This window comes from Homo sapiens, chromosome 6, assembly GCF_000001405.40.
Source record: "Homo sapiens chromosome 6, GRCh38.p14 Primary Assembly".
In the NCBI taxonomy this organism is placed as follows: Eukaryota; Metazoa; Chordata; class Mammalia; order Primates; family Hominidae; genus Homo; species Homo sapiens.
Window position 1 is genome coordinate 137,740,490 of NC_000006.12, and position 19,913 is coordinate 137,760,402.

The window sequence follows — 19,913 nt, forward strand, 5'->3', positions numbered from 1 at the left end:
GGAAAACCAAAGATTGCCAGCAATTCCCAGAAGCAACTCCCAGAGGCTAGAACAAAGGCATAGAACAGACTCTTTCAAAATGTCCAGAAGGAACCAACCCTCCTACATCTTGATTTCAGACTTCTGGCCTCTAGAACTATGAAAGAATAAATGTCTGTTGTTTTAAGCCACCCAGTTTGCGGTCATTTGTTATGACAGCTCTGGGAACCACGTACACCTCCCCATCAAGGCCCTCCTTCCAAGTCTCACGGGAGCCTGACAAAGACCCATGTTTCATTTTCTCTCAGTCCATCAAAACTTATCTGTCGTGGGTTTATCCTTCAGAGTCACAGCCTTTGCCAGGTGACAGTGGGTGAATAGACTGTCCTTGCTAATGCTTTAAGCAGCTAACTTGATGACTAGCAACACAATATACCTCTTTTCCTTCCAAAAACTGAACTCTAAGAAAACAACAATGACAATGTATCTCTTCCAGTTAAACTCTGCTTAAGGAGGCTCTTTAAGAACGCTTAATGCCCAGGTAATGGAGAGTGATTTGGGCAGCTCCTCAGAGCACACCCTGCAGGCCACCTGCTGTCCTTACATTCTTAGCTTGAATGAGGGGCTCAGCCAGGGTGGAGTCGTGCTGGAAATCTAAATGCCTGTCCACCTGTTAGATATCCCAGCAGGAACTACACGGGAACCAGGACTGCTGCAATGCAACCCATGGAGAGATGAAATCCCAGATCAGCTAGCCCGGTGGGGAAACAGAAACCACACTGGACGGGAACTGTTTTCCCGTAAGTGCAATCACCTCTTGCTAGGCACTTGTTGATCATTCCCCACCTTTGTTTCTCCCTCACCTTCCTTTGAACCGCTTTTTGCCACAGATTCACTCTACCCAAGGAAAAAAAGTCAAGAGCAAAAATATGCAGCTTGTTTCTTTGGGGTTTTTTCCTTTAATATGGTTCTCTAGATGATGTACTTTATCAGGCTAACATGAGGCTTTACATGCTATGGGTGTTTTGTTTGTTTCTTATTATCGTCTGCAAATGGCAGAGAGTGGAGCTGACCTTTAGCACCTCCCTGCTAGACTGCTCTGCCACCACCAAGCATGGACTTTGGAGATGAGCATGCCCAGGCTGACTCTAGCTCTCCTACTAACTGATGACCCAGAGCAAGTGAATGAGCGTCTCAAAGCCTGTCTTCTCACCCAAGAACTGGGAATAAGAATGCCTCATCATAGTTGAGTGTGAGGCTTAAACACATGACTGTACTTACGGCCCCATGCAGAGTGGCAGGTATATAGTAAAAGTTAAGATCCCTTCTCAGAATGACTTCTTACTTAAGTTCTATTTTAAATCTCACTTTGCCTGGTCATCTTAACTCCAAGGTGTCTCAGCCTGTTTGGGCACTAATTGTGCATCAACCATTTATATACTTTTTAAATTGATTTTCTGTTTTGTCTCCCAAATTTAAGCTGGGACCACAGGTATACACCACCATGCCTGGCTATTTTTTTGCTTTTTTTTTTTTTTTTGGAGAGATGTTGTTTCACCATGTTGCCCAGACTGGTCTCAAACTCCTGGGCTCAAGCAATCCACCTGGCCTCTCTATGTGCTGGGATTACAGATGTGAGCCACTGTGCCCAGACTGAAAAATATTAATAGTAACATTCATGAGCCCATTCTGTGTGTCAGACACCATGCTAAGCACTTCACTTACCTAACCCTGACAACAACAAACTGAGTTAGGATATTAACCTCATTTTAGGAACCTAAAGGGTAAACCTTACTTTAGACAACTAGTGAGTGGCAGAACCAGAATTCACAAGAATGTCTGTCTCAATTCTAGCATCAGCTCTCTTAAACAGATGATGTCAGGCACATAGTAGGAACTCTAAAGTAATCAAAAAAAAAAAAAAAAGGCTGGACACAGTGGCTCACGCCTGTAATCCCAACACTTTGGGATTACGAGGCAGGCAGATCACCTGAGGTCAGGAGTTCGAGACCAGCCAGGCCAACATGGTGAAACCCCATCTCTACTAAAAATACAAAAAAAAAAAAAATTTGCTGGGTGTGGTGGTTCGCACCTATAATCCCAGCTACTTGGGAGGCTGAAGCAGGAAAATTGCTTGAACCCAGGAGGTGGAGGTTGCAGTGAGCCAAGATAGCGCAACTGCACTCATGCCTGGGTCTCAAAAAAAAAAAAAAAGAAAAAGAGGGTGAGGGGGTGTCTCGCTATGTTGCCCAGGCTGGTCTTGAACTCCTGGTCTCAAGTGATTCTCCTGCCTCGGCCTCCCAAAATGCTGGGAGTATAGGCATGAGCCACCATGCCTGGCCAGAACTTTATAGTAATCTTTAAAAATTATAAACAGATCCTGATCTATCAGATACCAAAGAAGACATAAATATGCACTTAATGACAAAGCTTATTTGAAAAAGACATGTATCAAAATCAAACGTATTCCATGATTATTTTTTAAATGTATTATTCTTTTTCTTTTTTCTATTAAATTCTCTCCAGTTAGGCTTATCCCTGCCCTTCCACTGAAATCGAACTTATTAAAATTATTCAAGACCACCATAGTACTAATTCAGTGGTCACTTCGCAGTGAGTCCTCTTCTTTTTCTTGGTCTCTCTGCAGAGCCAGATGTGGGCATTCAAGCCTTCTTTGAACTTTCTTCACTTTACTTCCAGAACACCATGGTCTCCTGGGTTTCCTCCTATCTCACCAGACAGCTCCTTTGCTGGCTCCTCTTCTCCTAGGCCTGTTATAGTTGATGTGTCCCTGGATGCAACCCTTGGCCTCTTCTGTATCTACACTCACCCACTGAATGATCTCATCCAGTCTGTTCTGCTCTCATATAACATAGTGTTTGTAAAAAAAAAAAAAAAAAAAAAAAAAACTCTGTGCCATGCAAAATACACACGGTAACAACCAAAGGTCTTATGCAAAAAATGTGATTGGGGCACAACACTTAAAAATGTCAGCAACTGGCCGGGCATGGTGGCTCCCACCTGTAATCCCAGCACTTTGGGAAGCCGGGGCAGGCAAATCACTTGAGCTCAGAAGTTCAAGACCAGCCTGGGCAACATGGTGAAATCCTGAATCTATTAAAAAAAAAATGCAGAAAATTAGCCGGGTGTGGTGGCATGCCCCTGGAGTCCCAACTACTCAGGAGGCTGAGGTGGCAGAATCACCTGAGCCTGGGATGTCGAAGCTACAGTGAGCTGTGACTGAGTCACTGCACTCCAGCCTGGGTGAAGGAGAGAGATCTTATCTCAAAATTAAAAAAAAGAAAGAAAGAAAGGAGATAACCTGATAAAAAGAATGGCACAGTTTCATACATATTAAATGGTTAAAAAATGAATAAATACTACAGTAAATCTCATAGTCTACCTTGACAAAGACCGGAAATTTGCTTGGGAAGGATTGCAGCTTATGAGTTAGTGTAAAGTGGTGGAAGGAAGGTTTTCTGAAATCAGTGGGGAAGTTACACCAACAGACATGAATAGGTGTAGCTCGTAACAGGGTGAACCGAGGTTAGCTGGTGGATGTTTTGAGGTGTGCTTGTGTGAATAATTTGAGTTTTTCTATACAGTTTGGTTCACCTGAGTGCAGTTTTTAATGCGTTCACTTAGTATTTCTTCCAGAATCAATAGCACATATGCAAATGCAAAATTTGCATTACGTTTAAATTGTTATTGAATATATTTATCTGTATTAGGTCTTCAAAGACTGTTTCTGAATAAAGTCACATTCACAGGTAACTGGACTTAAGATTTTAACTACGTTTTTGGGAGACATTTCAATCCATAACACAAAATATGTCCCCACATTTCTAGAAGTCCCACCTAATGTCTCACAAGGATCATTTTTTACCTTTTTATTGACAGCTACCCACAGTAAGAAAGATTCTCTGCCTCATCTCCCAGTGCACACACACACACACACACACACAACTGAAATGTTTCACAAAACTTACTTTGTGTGTTGCGATCAGATATTTTGTATTCTACTTGATCTACCATAGAAAAGAAAAAATGCTAGTCATGACCCACTCATTGATTTTATGACCCACTGATTATTTGTGACCTGCATTTTGAAAAACACCACTCTAGAATAAGGAAAAAAGTTCCTATCTTTAAGATTAGGTTAGGTTTTAAAAGATTGTTCCCGAGTATTTATTTGTAAGTAAAAAGCATGTGATTATTGTTGATTACATTGCACAGGATGCGATTTGATTTGCTGTGTGATAGACTTTTAGTCTTCAAAATACTTTTCACTGTTTTAAGGTTCATTCCATTTGCATTTCCAGCAGGCTTTCTCTCTCTCTGTCTCTCCCACTTTATTATATTATCTCACATTTGGGTCATTTTGTAATCGTTAACCTCTTCTTACCCACTGCTCTATCACTTACCAGACTTGACCGGGTTAATAGTGCTTATTAGTGTGTCCATGTCATCATGAATGTAGGAATGGGCAGGAAGCTAAGGGCCAATGGCTAAATGAACACTTGACTTTCACCATCTGTCATCCTGCAGATTTGAAAGTGGAGGTGCTTCTGCACTTTCAGCCGCTGCATGGTCTTTGTGGCCTTGGTGGTTTTTACCCTCCCTCCTCTTGCAGCCCCTTTGCATAGAGGGCTGTTATTAAGGAGTATAAACCTTGTCAGTGGGTAGCAGGTGCCAGCTCCTGCCTCCAGTGTTGCTTCTCACTCTGCCCCCGAGGTTGCATTGTGCCAGCCAAGGCCCTGAGGCCACTCTGCTAAAATGGGAAAAGTACCCCCAGCCTAGCCCTGCTCCCAACTCACTGGATAATTCCAAAGAAATACAACTCTGTGCTCCCAACTGCTCAGATATGTCATGGGAGATCAACCCTCCTTCAATGCTAATTTTGGAAAAGAGCATATTGCAAGTTTAGAGAATGTGCCCCTGTCATATCACATATTCATTGCAAAGTTAGAACCTAAACTCATGCTCCTGATGTTCCTGGGAGCTTTTCCATAAGCTATAATGACTCTTCACCTATTTCACAATATTGCTAAAGGCAGGTCCCGTTCATCTTCAAATAAACTGGGATGAGTAAAACTATTCATGAAATACTTACAATTTGCTAAAGATACTCAAGTCCTCAATCTGGTATAAATCTTAGCCAAGTTGTGATCTTTCTTTTCTCACAATTCTCTTGGCATTTTTTCCCAGCAACTTCTCCCCAACTACAGCCCCCCACCTCCACTATAGCTCACATTTCTCACATTTGAAATGAGAAATCTGAGCTTCGATCTCTCTGGTAGAACAATAAGAACAACCATTTTCCCTCTAGACTAAAATTCTCACCTCTCACAGTTCTAATCTTTCTAAAATTCAGCTCTGTGAGAATTGATGTATCCATTTAATGTGGTTTGCTTTTTCATCCTTAAAACACTGTTTACATTGATAGTGCTTTGCAAAATCTTTGTAAATCTGGATAGTGCTTTGTAGAATTCATATATATCTTTAAAATATTAAATATATATATGAATATCTCTTATGTGCTCATATAATAAATGGGGCTGAAATACATGAAATTACAAAATTTTTCATGTGTTTCCTAGTATTACAGGAATTACATTGGGAATAGTTTTTGTAATTTAATGAACATGTTTTAGACAGGATTATAGACTTTCTCTGATGATCAAAGCTTTTGTCAAGATTGGCTGACAACTGGACCTCTCTCTCTCTTACGTTCTCTTTTCTTTTCCTGGTTCTCACTTAAGCATCTCAAATTCTTCATAATTCTACATGTATGCTGTTAACTACTCAGCCTTCTGACTTATTGTAAATGTTTTTAGAAGTCAGAAGGTGTGCATATTCCTCTATTGAGTCTGCAGTCAATGCTTTCTGGAAGCTGGCTGCTGTTTGGGGGAACAGTAGAAGTTAAGGGGTTTCCCTATAATTTGCGCCGCTGACTGCACCATTCAATTCTTTTGGAAAGCCCCTCTCAGGGAAGCATTTTATACTTTAAAAACAAAGGTTTTTGTTTCTGCAGTGATACAGAACCTTGACATTTCAAAACTGAAAGGAACAAAAGTCAATGACCCAAGGAAAAACAATGATGAGAGAATAAGTAAACCAAGTCTAGTGTAAACAAAGGCAGAAAAATATATTTTATTATAGAAATAAGGTTTTTAAGGACAAGTAGGGGTTGGGTTAAACATAAAAAGGGGAGATTTTTTCCTTTTTAAATACTTGGCAACGTTTCCTAGACCAGCCTGCATTAGCCAACAATTTATTTCTGGTTCTTTGAAGTTACTGCTTTGACTCAAGTAGAGGTTTTTCCATTAATATCTAAAAATTATCTATTAGTCTAAAAAGTATTAAATAATAGAATCAAGTCATTATCTATTAAAATATTATCAGTATTTATTCCCGCTATTGTCAGACCTACACGTCGTCTCTTTGGGATGAAGCACTTATAATTACGTAAGGTAATTTTTTTAAATGCTATATTTATTCAGCTGCAAGTAACAGAGAAGCTAAATACAAGAGTTAGAATAGATATAAGTTTGCTTATTCTCTCACAACAGGAAGTTTCTTGGGTAGTTGCTGGAGTTGGTTCAGTTACTCAGTAATGGCAGGGCCAATGTCTCTGTAATTCCCTGGGCTTGGCCTTTCTCTCATTATTACCAGATAGCTGCTGAAGCTCCAATGATCAGGCTTGTGTCCACAAAAGGGAAGATGTATGTCTTCTTTAATGATGAAAGCAAGGCCGGGCACGGTGGCTCACGCCTGTAATCCCAGCACTTCGGGAGGCCGAGGTGAGTGGATCATGAGGTCAGGAGATCGAGACCACCCTGGCTAACACGGTGAAACCCCGTCTGTACTAAAAATACAAGAAAAAATTAGCCAGGCGTGGTGGCGGGCGCCTGTAGTCCCAGCTACTCAGGAGGCTGACGCAGGAGAATGGTGTGAACCTGGGAGGCGGAGCTTGCAATGAGTGGAGATCATGCCACTGCACTCCAGCCTGGGCGACAGAGCAAGACTCCATCTCAAAAAAAAAAAAAAAAATGATGAAAGCAAAGTTTTCAAAAACTCTCCAACAGATTTTTACTTCCATCTCATTGGTAAGAGCTGTCAATTAGCCACTCCAAGGAAGGATGGACTTTTAAGTAGAGGAAATGGAGAAGAAGGTTAAAATTAGTTGCTGAATCAGCCAACTCATAATGTCTGTCAGAGTTTTTTTGTGGACATTTCTGACACATGATATTATATAAATAATTCCTGGGAATAATTAATTGATGATTCTGAGTCACCTAACTTCAAAATATCAGTGTTACCCAGTCTTTAGATTTTACTGAAGATGAGAAATAAAATTAAATTTTAAAATTGGCGGTGGCAGACGGAATAAAGGACCCCCAATTATGTCCACATCCTAATCCCTAAAACCCATGATCTTGTTATGAAGAGATGGGGAGATGATCCTGGATGATGTAAGTAGACCCAATAGCATTGCAAGTTTTCTTAGAAGAGGGAAGCAGGAGTATCAAAGTCACAGAGGGAAATGTCATGACAAAAGCTGAGGCCAAAGAGAGAGAAAAAGATTTGAAGACACTACACTGCTGGCTTTGAAGATGGAGAAAGGAGCCAGGAACCAAGGACTGCTGCAGCCTCTAGAAGCTAGAACATGTAAGGAGGTGGAGTCTTCCCCAGAACCTCCAAATGGAAAGTAGCCCTGTCTACTACCTTGATTTCAGGACTTCTGACCTCCAGAACTGTAAGATAATAAATGTGTGCTATTTCAATCTACTATGTTTAAGGTACGTTTTACTGTACCAGTAGGAAACTAATACAGTAGCCCAGATCAGATTAGAATGAAAGCTTTAAATTGCTCTTGAAAAGTAAAAATTAAGGCTTTATGAGACTGTGGCTACAAGCCCCACAAATTACTTCCTGTGGTCATGCAAAACAGCAATGATAATTGCTAACATGTATTGAAAATTTACTATGTTCCTGGAAAATACCATTGCATTGTGGGCATTTAATTCCATCCTTACAATAACCCTATGAGGTACATACTAATAGTATCACCCATTTTTCTCAGCACAGATGAATAGACTACAAGGAGACAGGGACATGAGGACTGGGGGGTGGGGGTGGGCGTGGCACATGGACAGCCGCACATCCATGGGCAGCAGGGCTGGCATGGGTTGGCAGATGGTTGGTAAGGAGTATCTGTGATTGGTGGCACAGGCTCACCTGGCTTCTTGGATGCAGCTGGCTACTACACCAGTGACCTGGGAACCCAAGAGATTGTGTGAGACACAAAGAGTCACTTAGAGCACTCTCCTTACTGTGTTTGAGGACACTGGAAAGAACCTGACTAAGGGCTGGAATTGCATCTGAACCACCTAATGGAGTAATGAACTGTGCAGAGAGTTCTTTGTGTTTGTCCTGCACTTGGAGTAGATCAAGGCTGATATTCACAGAGGCAATGTAAGTCTGATAAAGACAACCCAAATAGCTTCTCAATTGTAGAGGAAAGTGCCAATGCAATCAGAAGACAAAGTTATTCCAGTCTCCCAAAAGTGATGTTTGAATCCTGATAAGTTAATACAAACAGAAAAGCATACAGCAGCCCTTGCTTTGCACACTTCTGATACAAATGAGTTTCAGTTAACACAGCACTGTGCAAAGCAAAGGCTGCCTGTATTCAATTCTCAAAGGAGCAAAAGTAATGCAGAAAATTACTCTGCAAGGATTCAAATGTCAAAAATACATTACATGCTACTGTCTTGAATACTGTATTTATCAAAGATAAGTACTTTAATTGTACACTGAAAATATATACAATAAAGTAAAAGCAACTCTTTAAAACTTAATGTTATTTATAAGCAAGCTTCAAAACTTCCAACTTACTATAATTTTACTTGGTATTTGGTTAAAAAGTGTTCCAAAACTTACGGGAAAATGTAAGTTTAAAAATAGTGGTTGTTGCAATTACGGATAAGAATAGCTAAAGAACACCAATAACTTCATTTTATTACTTGTGCAAACATAAGCATCAAGGTGAAAGTAAATGAATCAGGCTGCTTTATATTATCAGAAGGAACATGATCTCAAAGGGACATTTAAGTTAATTGTTTAGCCTGCCTTACTGTATTTGGTTTGTGTAAAAAAGGAAAAAAGCAAACCAAACAAAAAATATCTCCCCTCAAAGTCCTCCCTTTCTCTGCGTTTAAGTAGGATTAAGAACCATTCCAAAATTTTGTTGTTGAGCCATGTCAAAAAAAAAAAGGTCCTAAAATAACCACTGTTGTGTCCCTTGAGGGAAGAACTCTAATGTCATCAAGCTGATATTTGGATCCTGATGGCGGAAAAAGAAAGTGTGTCTCGTTCCCGGGAAAAAAAGGAGATACACAAGCAAGGAAATTGCATGATGAGCTGTTGAGGTTCAAAAAATAAATCAGATGAGGTGTCATGCAGGCTGTCTCCATGACTTAGGGAGGATTTTTTGAGATCTTCGTATTTCAGACTTTTCTTACATCATTCTCCTTTGTCCTAAAAGATGACAGTCCTGGCTGTTACTTCCTGTAGACGTAAGGGTAGCTGAAAGGAATGAGGCATAACCGCCTCCACCTCCCTGTTTCCTCCCGTTTCCATTATATATTCAGGCAGTGACCATTGCTTCCAGGACCCGCTGCTATTTCTGGTGGTGCCACAGATCTGGCACAATGGGTAGATCAGAATTAAAAGCTTTTCCACTTGACAGGTTTCTTTGTCATTTCCAACTCTTGTCATCTCCGTTGTGTGGCTTCCAATTGTGCTGAGGATGCACTGGAAACATCTCTCCTTCCTGCCCATTTTCAGAATATCGCAGTGGTAGCCCTTTCTGGTTGATGTTAAATTTAGCACAAGAATTTTAGGCACATATTTGAAAGAATTAATAGGCTCTAAACAAAACCATACACATCAGAAGTGATTACCACGCAACCACCAACACTGCCTAACAGTGTCTCTGTGTGCCCATTAAAACTGTTCCTATCTCATTCCTTTTGTCAGCCTTCAACATAGAGTCACTGTTTGTGAGGATAACTGTGTACTGCCCCGACTGTGGCCTCTGATAGAGTCACAAGTCACGGTTTTTGCATATTCCAGTGAACAGCATTTAAAACTTTTGAATGTATCATTTTAATATCCAACGATGATCCTTATCTCTTACAGCCAGTTAACCTGCTCCACCAATTAACCATCATTTAATGAGTTTATTTCAGTGTTCTCAGTAATAAACATTACAAAAATAGTTTTAGCCGGGCGTGGTGGTGCACACACACCTTTAATCCCAGTTATTCAGGAGGTTTCTGTGGAGGATCCCTTGAGCCCAGGACTTTGAGGGTGCAGTGAGCTGGGATTGTGCCACTGTACTCCAGCCTGGGCGAGAGAGTGAGATACTGTCTTTAAAAAATGGAATTAAATAAATAAATAAATAAATGGATTTTGCCACCAATAAATTTGGAAAATTGATTACAATTTGGAAGCACACCTGTGAAGGAGTCTCAGCACACCTTTTGCTCCCACCTCTTGGGAGTTACATAATGGTACTGAATTTCCATGTGCTTTTCCCAGCCTACTTCTATCTTCCATTAAGCCTAAATGTGAGGCAGAGGGAGATATAGCTCAAAGCAAGCCCTTTGCACGTATGGTGTCCCTTTTCACGAATATTCATTAGAGTCTCCTTGTGTACAATTCAGAGGGAAATTCTTCGTTCTATTCCCTTGCTTCACATTAGTTGAAAGGGAAACAATCCAATGCTAGCTCAGAATTTGGCAGGAAGGCTGAAATACCTTTCTTTTGTTTTTTATTTTTGCAGTGATGGGGGTCTCACTATGTTGCCCTGACTGGTCTCAAACTCCTGGCCTTAAATAATTAAATAATTCTCCTGTCTCAGCCAGGAGTTTATTGTGTATATTCAAGGTTTACAACATGATCTTATGGGATACATAGAGATAGTAAGATGGTTATGATAGTGAAGCAAACTAATGTATCCCAGTGAGAGAAAACAGTGCAGATGCGTTCCGCCTTGCCTGTCTTTGTCCATCCCTACAGTGGTGGGACTCCAAGGCAAAATTAGCTTGAATTCACCAGTGATAGTAGTGCTTAGAGAGAAATCTTCTCGTGAAAATAAAGCTAAATTGTATTAAATATGTATGTGCCAGACAATGATCTAAGCTGTCTATACAAGTTAATTCATGGCATCCTTACTACTCTCTCCTCATAGAAGACTATTATTATCTCCATGTTAAAGACCCAGCAGCTGGGACACAGAGAGAAGAGATCATTTGCCAACAGAGTAAAGAATAAGCAGCAGCAGAAGGGATTATTACCAGGAGCCAGTCCTGACCATTACTGGCATGGGGCAGGTATTTAAAGAACAGATACAGTTGCAGGCACTGAAGAGATCATTTTTCAGACTAAGGACAATATTTGAAGAGGAAAGGCCAAAAATATTGAGCCTAGCAAACAGGAATTGACGGCAGTGATGGAAAGTCTGTGAGGAAGTGATCCTCCAGGTCTGTGCAGGCAGGGGACAACCTGTGGATGTTGGCAGGGGGTCTCTTCAGCAGAGAGTAGGATCCAGCTGCGGGGTCATGGTCAGTTTCTGGGCATGGAATGTGAAAGCCCAACATGGACTTTAGTACTGAAATTAGCCTGGGTCATCTGTGTAGCTACCGGAAGTGAAATTTGAAAACTGTAACCAAAAGAAACCAAGCCATCAAAAAGTGTAATATCCAATGGGGACTGATCTAAGGAAGTGAGAGGCCAGTAATCCAAAAGGAAAAGGAGGCCAAGAGCGAAGAACAGCCCAGGAGGCATGCCGAACCTCATCTCCAGCATGGTCCTGGCCACTGCGAGACTAGCTGGGTTTCCACCTTTCCTGGCCCAGTTGTGGTCAGGTGGCCCAGCTTCAGGCCAGGAGGGGAAGAAACAGCAGCCAAGGCTGACAGGAAACCTGAAACCTAAAAACTCCCCATGCCTTCCACATGACAAACACGACAGGACTCAAGTGTCCAACACTAGCATTTCAACTCCGTCTCAACTTGATACCAATCCTTGCACTTTCAGGCCAGGAGAAAATAGATTTTGAGCTCAAATAATGTTAATGCTCCATTTTTTTTTAATGTGGGAAAATAAGAAACAACCAAAATCTGATGGGATGTCATCAAGAAAATCATGAAACAGCATTTGATCACGTAATCTGCCATCATCACAAATCACGTTTTCAAGGAATATTCACTGTCTAAGGAAATGCACGTCACGTAAGGGTATGAAGAAAAGCAGGCTGACATGCCAGAATGTGCTCTAGATTTGCTGAGAGAAATTGTGTTTTGGTACAATAAAGAAGTTGTACTGACAGAATATAGCCCTGTTTTATATAATTAATAAATTGCCTTCATTCACAGAATATTGATGGTACTGTTATACCATAAGAATAGTCAAGATATGTGAAATATCAAAGTGTCCTTACTTGCATAAAATTTAATCCCTAAAAACCTGTCACCTGATATATCTAGATACTTGAAAACTTAATCATGGTAATTTTTACCTTTTTTTTGGTTAGCCTTTTAGCAACTTGGTTTAGTTTTCCCCTTTTGGAACTAAATAAACATTGTAAAATTTAAAATTACTACATAGAGACTAAAATTGTTCATGTAAAATTTCCACATAGCAGATTAATACATATTGACCTTTACCTTTAACAGATATGGACAAAAGTAGTTAAATGTTTTTGTTGAGTGTTTATTTAACTGCCTGTGGGAAAAAAAGAAAAACTTTTCTGAGCGTAATTTAATTGTTTGGAAGTTTTGGATAGTGCAGACTTTCTATTCTTATAGATTGAGAATCAATCAAGTATAGGTAAATTTTAAGGGGTTGAGATTTCTTTGAAACCATAAAGAAGAGGCAGGGAACTGCTCATACTTCTGTTTTGTTTTGCATGGTAGCCATTGCAAGTACCTTATGCATGAAATTAAATTGCTTGGGCTACAAACACTAAAGAGTCACATTAGCAATCCTCAAGCATTTGGTGGGAGAAGGGGGTGTTGTTGATGGTAGAGAACTACTTTCTGATTTTCTTCAAGTCTAATGGAGGGGATAGGAGTGGTGTGGCTTAAATAGAAGAGTGGAGTGGTGTGGCTTAAATAGAAGAGCGGACTTCCCGTGAGAGAGTGCAGATAAGCCAATTGATCCCCTTTCCCACACTGCTGGCATGAGGCAGGGCCAGAGATGCCAGGCCCCAGAGCCACAGGAAACCTGGAAGAGGCAGGACAGGCTGAGGGGTGAACAGGGTGGAGAGGGCACAGGAAGTGCACAGGATCCTCAGGGCGACCAAGGAAAGGAATGTGTGAGCTGGTGCCAAGAAGCTGAGGATAAAAAAGGATGAAGAAAGGAGAAGGGACTGGGTCAGCTGTAGGATAAGGAAGCTGGAGGAGGGGGCTCCTGGGCAGCCCTTGGTATGCCATCTTAGTTTCATTCCACACCTTGATAGGTAAGTCTTAGTTCTTCCATGGTCCCTCTCTTCTGAATTCTCAGGTGACCTCTCCCATAAGAGATACAACAGCTAATTCAGGCACCATCAGACAGCCCGGAGCCTGGGCTTCTGGGCATCATCCACACACCCCATGCAGGGATGGGGAGGTTAGGAAGATGCTGGGGAGTTTGTGGGTGTCTGAGATCAAGGTATGGGGAGGGAGGAGGTCTGTTGGTGGAGTCTACACTATTCCCCACTGCTCCAGGGTAATTCTCACCAGTATTCAGATTTGCCCCATCAAGTAGAGATATAAAAATACAGCTAGTACGTGAGGCCCTAGTCAGGAATACCTGCCCTCAATCCAGTCAACCCCATGTTCTCCCCATCTTCTCCCGATTCACCACAAGCTCTCCCCTCACTCCCATGATTGTCTTTAAGATGTTCAGGAGGTTATCACTCATGGCTACAGCAGTTCCAAATACAAAATTCATTTCTGGCTTATACTTCCAACCACCCCCCCACATTACCCACACCCACTTTCAAAAAGGATCTGAGGTCTATAAGTTGATATTCTATATAAATTGAAATAGAAAACGAAAAACTATTTGGAGAAAAGAGGAAGGAAATATACCAGCGGGTATAATTACTGTCACAGAGTAAGTCACAAAGAAATTGACTGAGGAAGTTGAAACTACTAAATACTCTTGTCTGTCTATATGTACTAACATCTCAGAGAAAATTCATTTCAATAGCACTAATTAATATCAATTTTATTGTATTCAATTAAAATGCTGTAGTTATAAAGCAAAATAATCTTAAAGATTATAAAATAGGTTTATGTTGATAGCAGAAGACACCTGATACCAGTAGCTGTATGAAAGCCATCACTTGGCAAAAGTCAAATGTGAAAGACAAACACAAGGATGCTTAACCACACATGTGGAGCCTGAAAATCAAGCAAATTGAAGCAGGTTGAATCACAGAAAAAAGCATGGATTTTAAAATCAGGCAAACCTTCTGAATTCAACTCAGCTTCCTATTCACTAGCTATGTCTCATGACCTCTCTGTGCTTCAACTTATTCATACCCAAAGCTTAGAAAGTTTGTAGTGAGAAATAGCCATAGGCATCTAATGAATCTACTACAGTGCCTGCCACACAGGAGGCACTCAATAAATAGTATTTATTAATCAAGCCCCTATAATAATTCAGGCAGTATTCTAGGTGCCAAAATTAGACTAATGAATGAAAGAAATCTTTGTTTTAATGAGGTTTATGCTGTGATGGGAGCAAATAGCCAGCAAGTAAGCAGAGAAAGAAGAAAGGGTGGGAGGAGGAAAGAAGGAAAGGAGGGAGAGGAGAGAGATCTGAAAGTGATATTCTATTGAAAAAATACAATAGTAATAAGGTAGAGAGTATCTTGGGGCAAGGGCTAGCTCCTCTAGCTAAGCAGTTGGACTTCTCCAACTGCCTCCTCAGAAGGCCTCTCTTAGGAGATGACATTTTGTCTGAGTGCTGATTGATGGAAAGGAAGTCAGAGTGGGTTAAGATCTTGTGAACAAGGACTCCAGCCAGAGGGAGTGGCAAACAGCAAAGGCCTTGGGACCAGAACAAATTTAACGTTTCCAGAGACAAAGAAAAGCCAATGAGGGACACGAAAGAAGTGTTATAAGTGGCATGTTATGAGTGGCAGAGGAGGGTATAGGCTAGGTCCTAGGTATTGGTGGAGTCAATTCAAGTAAGCCCTTGAAGGCCCAAATTGAGCTTAGATTTTATTTTAATTACAATGGGAAATGATGGGAGGGTTTTAAGCAGGAGAGTCATATGATGAAATGTAATTTTCAGAAAGACTATTCTGTGTGCTGTATGAAGAATGAAGGTGAGTTCTCACGGGTGGAGAAAGGCTGGAAGCAGGCAGACCAGGTAGGACACTGTGGGAGTCATTCAGGTGAAAGGTTGCTCAGGTGATCCTCAGCGATGGAGCAGGTGAGATGTGGTTGGATTGGGGATATATTTTGGAGGCAGAGAGGACAGGACTTCCCAAAGAATTAGATATGAGGGAAGAAAGAGATCAGAGATGATTCCCAGATGTTAGACCTGAGCCATAGGCTGATAGGTAAGGCAATGTCATTTGCTAAGATAAGGAAGAGCAGTGGAGAGATGGTTTGGGATTGATGGGGTAAAGATGGTCAGACATCTAAGTGGACATTCCAAGTAGACAGTTAGACATACAGACTGGAAATCAGGACCACACCTGGGAGATAATGCCTTCAATCCCAGAACTTTGGGAAACTGAGGTGGGCAGATCATGAAGTCAGGAGATCGAGACCATCTTGACCAACAAGGTGAAACCCCGTCTTTACTAAAATACAAAAAATTAGCCAGGCGTGGTGGTGTGCGCTTGTAGTCCCAGCTACTCAGGAGACTGAGGCGGGCGAATCGCTTGAACCCGGGAGGCAGAGGTTGCAGTGAGCTGAGATTGCACCACTGTACTCCAGCCTGGCGACAGAGCAAGACTCTGTCTCCAAAACGAAAAAAAAAAAGAAAAGAAAAAAAAAAAGAAAATTGTATTTATATAAAGTGTAATGTAAACTTACATTATACAAAATATCCAATTCAGTTTTACCAAATCGAAAAGAAAAAGCTTGACACTATTAGAAAGTGATATTCACTATTTTTTATGGAATTAAGTATTCTCAAAAACTTTTATTTAAATAACTCTTAAGTTACCTCTATCAACACACAAAAGTTGATTCAGTTAAAGAAAAAACAAAAAAAACTTAATTTCTCTGTGGGCATCAAAATCTGATAGAAGCAAGAAATGATTCAGTTGCAGTATCAGAAACATAGTTTTTATATCAACAAAATTCCTTCTTTGTTTCTTTGTTGGGTTTTTTTTTTTTTTTTTTTTTTTTTTTGACTAAGTCTTGCTCTGTCACACAGGCTGGAGTGCCGTGGCTCCATCGTACCTCACTGCAACCTCAACCTCCTGGGCTCAAGCGATCCTCTTGACTCAGCCTCCCAGATAGCTGGAACTATAGGCATGCACCACCACACCCAGCTAAAACAAAATTCTTATAAAACACAATCATTGATGCTAGATAAAATTCTGTGTCACTGATTCATAGCTTCTGATGGGTATAGTTAAAATCCTTCCTTTGGGGTGGAAAAAAGGGAGAAAGGTGCCCTCAGAGCAGTATTTTTCTTAATATTCTAGTGATGTCCAAGATGGCCTGCATTAATTATAATAAACTGATTTTGGTTGGATTCCTCTATTCTGCTCTGGTAGGGTGCTCAGGCTAACCTGTTCTGAAGATCTCAGAGATGTGGTATCAGGTGAGAAGTCCAAATGCCACATACCGAAGCTTCCATTGAAATGAGCATGGAGAAATGACTAGAGAGATTACCTGCTTCTACTCTTAATACCCAATTAGACCTATCTTGAGAAATCGACTATTGTTGAGTGTCAATTACGGTGATATTTACTATTCATTAAATATCTCCTGTAGGCCAGGCTTATGCATGATCTCATTTTAACCACCAAAACAAATTCAGGTGTTTTTTTTTGTTTTAGAGGTAAGAAAACTAAAGATCAACTAGATTATTATTTGCTCAGAGGTAGAACATGGGTTTATTCACAGTTGTGTCTAAATCTAAATGTAATTCTCTGCCTAGTTTATTATATTGTGCCCATCAGTAAAAATAAACATCACTGAAAATTAACATTGATAACAGAGATAGCTGAAGATGTAGGGGTGAGTTGTTACAAAGACTGTAACTTACTTTCACATGGTTCTGCAAACACATACAGCTGATCCTTATTATCTGCAGTAGTCACATTCTATACAGTCTCTATGAACACTACATTAGCAAATACTGAGCCATTGCTCCCAGGAGAAATACAGGGTTAGGTTCTTGCGAGCCTCTGGTCACAACATTTCTGTCAATGAACATATATATATATAAAAAATCTTGTTTCATGTGTGTTTCTATTTAAAGTCACCTTATTTAATATATATTTTTCACTCATTAATATTGAACTCATGGCAAACTATACTATAACTCATGCCTGAACTAAGCTTCTCTAACACAGATATTTTCTGTTAGGCACATCACAGCCTTTTTGAGCTTAGGATCACTAGGCAGTACTTCAGCACTATGCTCAGGGTCCATTTTAAATAGTGAAATCATCCACAGGAAAAAAAATGCAAAAAAAATGTGACACTGAATAAACTGTGGAAAGGACACTTGCTGAGTTTTGGGGGATTGAGGAGAGATGCAGGATGCATGAGCCCTGCCATCATGGAGCTTTTAATCTATTACTAGAGGCAAAATTAACACAGTGAAATATTCACAAGACAATATAATTGAGCAGGTGAATGGGGTGAGGACAGTGTTTTATATTACACTATCTGTTCTTGGTGGCTTTTATCTTTCCTTTTTCCAGGTTTTTCAGGCACCAGTGGTACTTTCTATATGAGCTTCTTTTAGGGTAAGGCAGATCAGCCTAAAACAAAGAAGTCCATTAAAAATGTGACTGGATTTCTTAAATGCAGAGTAGAAACTATAATCTGAAAGCCAAAGGGTTGTTTATTTGTGAGAACCAGCCTTTGTTCTGTGAACTAAATTGATTCCATGGAATTCTAAAAGCTGAGATTAATAAGATTGTATTATATGATTTATAATTCAAGTTTTGTGGATTGGACACTGAGCAGTAACCTCTACAGAACAGTGAAGAGTGCCAGTTGATATATTTGCCTTCTTACCCACAATGGAAAGGATTTCCCAGTGAGCAAGAAGAGGAAATTTAGAGAGAATAAAATAGAGTGCTTAATAAGAATAAGATAGCTAGTGACAAAATCTGTTCCCTCCTGTGGTCAAACCTTAGGTGGAGTGTGGTAAAGACACTCAGAAATCCTTACTTAATAGTACTTTCCATGGCAGACCCCAAGAAGACAGCCAGTGTTTTAACCTCAGGTGCTATAATGAAATACCATGACTGATGGCTTCAACAACAAACATGTATTTCCCATAGTTCTGGAGGCTGGGAAGACCACAATCGAGGTGCCAGCAGATTTGGTGTCTAGTAAAGGCCCACTTCCTGGCTCATAGGCGATGCCTTCTCATGGTGTCCTCGCATGGTGGGGAGAAGAAGCAAGCTATCTTAAGATTATTCTAAGAACATTAATCCCATTAATAAGGGCTCCATTCTCATGACCTCATCTAATCCTACTTACCTCCCAAAGACCCCACCTCCTAATACTATCACATTACAAGGTAGGGTTTCAACATACAAGTTTTGGGAGACACAAGCATTCAGTTTCTAACAGAGTTTCATGGAAAAACATCTATTTTGAATGGCATTTGAACAACACGGCTCTTCGAAAATGAATGAGCAATGACTGAGAGAGGTGGTGAGGCAGACCAGGCCTTCGCACAGCCTTGCAGAGCCATGTACATCACAGAATACTAAAGATAGGCAACAGAGAGTTTTCAGTCCTCAAGGAGAGGAATAGAAGAGGTGTAGGAGTGGGTGGGTCACAGGGGGTCTGGGAGAAGAGCAGGAGGACACAGATATGTGGACTTCACTGTTGATCAGAGCAAGGCAGGGACTAGGGTCAGCAGCAGCAGCTACCAGCCCACCATGTGAAAGATCAGGCAGGATGGAGACCCCTTTTGGGTGCCAGCCACAATTCCCCAAGGACCAGAGCATGACAACACAGTGGCCATCAACGGGAGAAGGCTATATGAGAACCCAGGTTACTTCTAAGCTCCCTGGATCATAAGGTCACTCTTGGGAAGAAGGAAGTGAGAACTCTGAATTTCACAGAATCCTTACTAAAAAAGGCAACATTTTAAACCAGAAGTAGAGTTATCTGCTTTTTTGTTTTGTGTTGTTGTTGTTGTTGTTGTTGTTGTTGTTGTTTTGAACCAGGCAGGCTCCCTCTGTCACACAGGCTGGAGTGCAGTGGTGTGATCTCAGCTCACTGCAACCTCTGCATCCTGGGTTCAAGTGATCCTCCTGCCTCAGCCTCCCAAGTAGCTGAGACAACAGGCATGAGCCACCAGGCCCAACTAATTTTTGTATTTTTTGTAGAGACGGGGTCTCTCCATGTTGCCCAGGCTGGTCTCAAACTCCTGAGCTCAAGCCATCCTCCTGCCTTCACCTCCCAAAGTGCTGGGAGTATAGGCATGAGCCACCGTGCCCAGCCCAGAAGTAGAGTTGTCTTAAAACAGAAAAATTAAAAGCTTTAGACTATCAGTAAAAATGGATTCTACAACTGGAGCTGAGCTGATTTCAATTACAGAAAAATTTAAAATGTTACTTTTTTTCACATCGGACTGTGACTATAAATTTTGAACTTGCTCCATGTGCTACACTGTGGTGCACCACTCAAAAGCCCCAGAGCATTGCAAAGTTGAGG

The 19,913-nt window shown here is 40.8% G+C and overlaps 2 annotated features.

The window, feature by feature from the left end:
• Nucleotides 536-585: a silencer, noted in NCBI's record as "silent region_17587". NCBI's record gives its function as "represses an Ori minimal core promoter by ATAC-STARR-seq in GM12878 lymphoblastoid cells {active_cell/tissue: GM12878}" and the evidence as "EXISTENCE:reporter gene assay evidence [ECO:0000049][PMID:35858748]".
• Nucleotides 4,553-4,612: a silencer, noted in NCBI's record as "silent region_17588". NCBI's record gives its function as "represses an Ori minimal core promoter by ATAC-STARR-seq in GM12878 lymphoblastoid cells {active_cell/tissue: GM12878}" and the evidence as "EXISTENCE:reporter gene assay evidence [ECO:0000049][PMID:35858748]".